The 5,825-nt window shown below is 51.5% G+C and overlaps 2 annotated features.

The window, feature by feature from the left end:
• Positions 2,141 to 2,784: an enhancer, noted in NCBI's record as "H3K27ac-H3K4me1 hESC enhancer chr20:56346807-56347450 (GRCh37/hg19 assembly coordinates)". NCBI's record gives its function as "activates a minimal SCP1, AML or CMV promoter by ChIP-STARR-seq in primed H9 embryonic stem cells {active_cell/tissue: H9 hESC(primed)}" and the evidence as "EXISTENCE:reporter gene assay evidence [ECO:0000049][PMID:30033119]".
• Positions 2,785 to 3,426: an enhancer, noted in NCBI's record as "H3K27ac-H3K4me1 hESC enhancer chr20:56347451-56348092 (GRCh37/hg19 assembly coordinates)". NCBI's record gives its function as "activates a minimal SCP1, AML or CMV promoter by ChIP-STARR-seq in primed H9 embryonic stem cells {active_cell/tissue: H9 hESC(primed)}" and the evidence as "EXISTENCE:reporter gene assay evidence [ECO:0000049][PMID:30033119]".

Raw genomic sequence — 5,825 nt, forward strand, 5'->3', positions numbered from 1 at the left:
CCCTAGATCCTCCAGAAGAAACACAGCCCTTCAGACCTACATTAGTGTGAGATGATCAATGTGTGTTTTTAAGCCGTGAGGTTTGTGGAAATTCATTACATCAGCAATAGCAGATGAATACACCTGGACAGAAGGAATGCTAAATTGTGACCATTCTGGGCTTTTTCTCTGATGAGTGCTGTTTCTTGTGTTTTAGCAGGCAGTTAGCTTGGTGGAATTTGAACTTCAAATCCTGTTGCTAGGACGACATTTCCTGTCTCAGTTCACATCTTTATCTTCCCTAAGCTGAGGTTTCCGATTATGTGGCCGGAATCCCCCTGGAGTCCCTGTGGCCTGGTGCCTGCACTTTGTCAGCCACCCTTAGCCTCAGGCCAAAAGCCACAAAGAAAAGCCCTTGCTTTGAGCAGTGGCCTCCTCCCCTGCTCTCTCCACTCTCCAGGCTTTCAGGTGTTTGGATCCGGGGGTACTTGGAGTGTTCTTTTGTTTCTGAATTGGTTCTCAGAAAGACAGAGTGGAAAAGACGACAACTTTTCTAGCACTGGGTTCCAGCCTGGTTTCATTACTTACTCGCTGCATGACCTTGGGCAGCTGAGCTTGTGTCAGCCTCAGTTTCCCCATCCGTAGGTCTCTACATCAGAGGATAGTGTCTGCATCGATGAGCAAATGCACGTATTTGTAAGGTGCTGGATCCAAGCTTGGTCTCCTTGTTATTTTCCAAGCATCTCTCTGCTGCTCATGGAAGGACACCCCCAAAACTAACTGCTGGACAGATTTTCCAAGCCTTATCAGTTCATCCAAATGGTTAACTCTAAGTTTCTTTCCTGTCCGAAAAATAAAACTGTAAACAGTGATACAGAGCCATGGGTTGTTATTCAGGATTTGCAAACTTTATTTCCCCAAACCGGCTTTGCTACATAGGCTCTGCTCCTAAGCTATTGCCCACAGCAAACAAGAAGGGATCTGGAGGCCGGGCATGGTGGCTCACACTTGTAATGCCAGCGCCTTGGTAGGCTGAGGCACAAGTTTGAGACAAGCCTGGCCAACATGGTGAAACCCCATCTCTACTAAAAATACAAAAAAAAAAAAAAAATTAGCTGGGCGTGGTGGTGGATGTCTGTAGTCCCAGGTATTCGGGAGGCTGAGGCAGGAGAATTGCTTGAACCCGGGAGGCGGAGGTTGCAGTGAGCTGAAATCGTGCCACTGCACTCCAGCCTGGGTGACAGAGCAAGACTCTGTCTCAAAAAAAAAAAAAAAAGGGACCTGGAATGCTTCGTGGGGGTGTCGCAAGGTCTCGGAGCCTATGGAATCTGGTTCTGGAGCTGGGCAGGGCTTCCACTGGGCTCTGCAGTCCTGGGCCGGGAGCTGGCTCATTTGTTTATGGGACATTTGCTTCCTGGGAGTCTACAGTGTGGTGGTCCCTGCCCTGGGTGCTGGACACAGCAGCAAACAAGGCAGACACAGCCCGCCCTTGTAGCATGGACTTCTGCTCACAGCGCTGGGCACGTGCCTGGGTGTAAAACCACAACTGTGATCAGTGGAATGGGCGGGGGTGTCCTGTGAGTGTCCGAGATAGGCATTGATTGGGTCGTGGAGGCTAGTGGGTCACGCTGAGGTCTGATGGCTGAGTAGAATTTGCCTGGCCGGGTGGGAGGGAAAGGACAAGAGGAAGCAGCAAGAGCCTGTGCACAGGCCCTGTTGGGGTAAGGGACATGGTAAGTTCCAGAACTGCAGGAAGGCCTTGGAGGGCTGGAGCTCGGAGGAGGGCATGTGGGGAGGATAGGAAGTTAGGGAGCGGGCGGTAGGGTTGCTAGACTCAGTAAATGTAAATACAGGATGCCCAGTTAAACTTGAATTTCAGGAAAAAGTCAAATACTTTTTTAGTATAAGTGTGTCTCAAGTGCTGTATGGGACATACTTATACATACTCACACTAGAAAAGTATTCATTGTTGAGCACAGCATGCTGGCTCACACCTTGAATCCCAGCACTTTGGGAGGATGAGGTTGGAGAATCTCTTGAGCCCAGGAGTTCAAGACCAGCCTAGCAATATAGCAAGAGCCCCCATCTCTAAAAAAAAAAATTAAAAATTAGCTGGGCAGAGTGGCACATGCCTGTAGTCTTAGCTACTCAGGAGGCTGAGGTGAGGATCACATGAGCCCAGGAGTTCGGGCTGCAGTAACCCGTGATCACACCGCTGCACTCCAAGCCTTGGTGACAAAGTGAGACCCTGTCTCAAAAATACTACTACTACTGGGCTGGGCGTGGTGGCTCACACCTGTAATCCCAGCACTTTGGGAGACCAAAGCTGGTGGATCACCTGAGGTCAGGAGTTCGAGACCAGCCTGGCCAACATGGTGAAACCCTGTCTCTACTAAAAATACAAAAATTAGCCATGCGTGGTGGTGTGCACCTGTAGTCCCAGCTACTCGGGAAGCTGAGGCACAAGAATTGCTTGAGCCCGGGAGGCAGAGGCTGCAATGAGCCGAGATTGCACCACCGCACTCCAGCCTGGGCCATAAGAGTGAGACCCTTCCTCAAAAAAACAAAACAAAACAAAAACTACTACTACTGATAATAATAACTCGTTGTTTATCTGAAATTCTAATTTAATGGCATCTTGTTTTCTATTTGGTAACCCTATGAGCAGGGTCTTGCAGAACAGGGCAATGAACTTGTTCTCAAACCAGGAACAACGGTGGGCTGTAGAGCTACGCTGGGAGCAGCAGTATCCAGGCAGCATTTGGAGGTTAGCTGCATGCTGGGGAGAACGGATGGGAGCGCGCGAGGGGCAGAGAAGGACTGGTGAAGGCTGCTGCAGTGCCCAGGGGAGCCCCTGAGCATCGGAGGCTTGGGGAGGCCCCAGGTGCTGCGGGGTGGAGAAATGCACTGGAGTGGAATCTTGCCTGTGTCTGCTACTAGAAGGGAAGCTGCCCTTTGTCACAGGGCGATCACTCACTGGGTGCCGGAGGATGTGGTACTGACGAAGCGGCCAGGCTGGGATCCTTGCTTGATGTCACTTGATAGCTCCTTGATGTCACTAAGAGCCATCATCCTGCTCACAGCCCCTCCCCACCCCAAAATGAGAGCTGCTCAGCCCAGACAGACGTCTTACCCTCTGCTTGTTTTTGTGATTCAAAAATGAGTCATCCACCCCAGGCAAGAGCAGGCTGAGGACCTTTTCCTTGGCTGGGAGTTTGGGGGTTGGGTGGCTCTTCCGGAGGCTACAGGGTTCAGACAGCGTCTTGTCTGCAAGATTAATTCCTTCCAGTGCAAGAAACTTAAAGGGGCCAGATGCGGTGGCTCACACCTGTAATCCCAGCGCTTTGGGAGTCCAAGCTGGGAGGATCACATGAGCCTAGGAGTTCAAGATCAGCTTGGGCAACATAGCAAGACGCCATCTCTACAAAAATAAGCAAAATTAGCTTAGCTGAGCATGGTTGCGTGCACTTGTAGTCCCAGCTATTCAGGAGGCTGAGGCAGGAGGATCACTTGAGCTCAGGAGTTTTAGGCTGCAGTGAGCTGTGCTTGTGCCACTGACCATCAGCCTGGACAACAGTTCTGTAAGATGAGAACAAGAATAGTGCCTGGTTCCTGGGGCTGTTCCAGGATTAAATGAGACAGAGCTTATGAAAAATCTTGGGATATAGTAGATGCTCAGTTAATGTTATTTGCTTTCTTCCCTCCCTGTCATGTCAACAGAGAAGCTGGCAAGGTGAAAGTCAAGAGCAGGAGGTCAGAAAACATGTTCCTGTCAAAGCCCAGATGGAAAATACTCTAGGCTTTGCGGGCCAGACAGAAGCCGCCACAGGCAACATGCAAATAACGAAGGATGGCCGTGTTCCCATAAAACTTCATTTATTGACTCCGCTGTTTGAGTTTCAAATAATCTTCATGTAATTTTCAAATGTCACATGACATTAGATTTTCCCCCCAACCATTTAGCTATGTAAACACTAGTTTTAGCTCATGGAGTGCACAGAAACGGGCTGTGGGCTGCACGTGGCCCTTGGGCTGCAGTTTGCAACCCCTGCCGAGAGTGAGGTTACCATCTGGCTGATCTGTGAGTTTTCTGACTCTATGAAGGAGGCGGTGAGGTTGTCAGAGTCTTGAACTAGATAGAACCAAACTCAAAGTTTTATCTTTTCCTAAGTTTCCAGAACCAAAAATATTCCTTGTGAGCCAACCTGAACTGCAAAGATACTGATATATTTTCTAGAATTCTTTACTGGAAGCTCCCCACTGCTCCTCAAACTGTACCTGAATCAAATCAGTGAGTCCTGCTGGAGTCCCTGGAGCTCCTGGAGCTGGGGCTTAAAAGGGTGAGAAGGGCCTGGGGCAGACCTGGTTTTTAGTATTGAAAGTCCCACAACCCTGGGACCCCCTCAATCCAAGGCAAACTGGGCCGATTGGTCACGGGATAAGTGGATTAATTTCTCCGGAATTTCAGGCCCCTGGATGCTTTCCTTCCCCATCATCTCAGGGATGTAGCCCTCTGGGGCCCCTGGAGGCTTTCCTTCCCCATCATCTTGGGGGTGGGGGGCACCCTCTGTGTGCTCAGATCCCCAGTGCCCTGTCCACCATGGTTAGGGGGACTAGGGCGCCCTGTCGCTTCTCAGCCTTTCGGCTAAGATCAAGTGTGGAAAGGGGGCCCTGTGGGAGGCTCATTTTCCAGCAGCCACAATCCCCAGGGCGGTGTGGGACCTGCATCTGGTACCGCAGGAAGCACAGCTCATTGCGGTGGGGGTCAGGTGTGATGGGATGGCCTGAAGGTCAGTTGTGGTGTGTGGGATGGGGGACCTAGAAGATTCCTTGTCCCTTAGCCCTGACCTGTTGGCTGGGAGACGGAGAGAGGGCAGGAGGCTTGAGCTTGGCTTGCGAGAGGCCACCAGGGTGACGGACTCATCCCAGTTTCATCCCAGTTGGGATCGACTGTCCCACTATCAACAGTGAATGTCCTGCATCCTGGGAGCTCCCTCAATCCCCAGCAAACTGGGATAGTTGGTCACCTTAGAGGTCACCTTAGCCTCTGGCAGGAGACAGCAGAGCCTGTTCCCAGTGCCCTGGCTGCTCCAGATGTCTTGGGGACCATTGGCCTTGCAGGTGCCGATCGTGAAGGCCCAGAAGGCAGGCCTAGTGGGGTCTAGCCTCCCTTCTTCATAGCTGCATGACCCAGGACAGTCCCTCTACCCACTGAGCCTCAGTGTTTTAATCAGTAAAGAGGGTATTGTCAAGCAAGAACCTCTGAGCCTGTGGTGTGAAAGTTTTAGAGTACAGAATGGGTGCTTTGTGGAACAAGCTCTGATGAGGATGAAGTAGAAGATGGTGCAACAAGCTGGGATGCACCGTGACTCAGTTCTTGCTTGCTTGAGAGGAAAAGAAAAGACATGCCAAAGGAAAAGCAAGAGATCTCAGTCCTGGGGCTGGTGATGGGTCCTGAGACGGGTGTCTGGGTGGCCAGGCTGGGAGGTGAGGACTCTGGTCTGAGGAGGGGGCTCAGGAGCTGCTGCACCCCAAGCCCTGCTGGTCCCAGTGATTTCATGCATGACCCAGGCACACCCAGGGCCTGGGTTGGGACAGAGGGGTGATGCTTTAAGACTTGCTGTCAGCAGGTGGGTAGGCTGTGCCAGGGCGGGAAGAAGACATCATGCCAGCTTCCTCCCCCATAGCTGATGTGGAAAGAATGAGGCCCCTGGGCCCCCCTCACCAAAGGCGAGACCTTCCTCAGCGAAGCCTGCCCCTGAGCCAGACAAGTGGTAGCTTCCAGACCAGCCCTGAACAGGAGAAATGACAATCGCTAACCCCAGATTTTACTCTCTTCTGTGTAT

This window comes from Homo sapiens, chromosome 20 (genome assembly GCF_000001405.40).
Source record: "Homo sapiens chromosome 20, GRCh38.p14 Primary Assembly".
In the NCBI taxonomy this organism is placed as follows: Eukaryota; Metazoa; Chordata; class Mammalia; order Primates; family Hominidae; genus Homo; species Homo sapiens.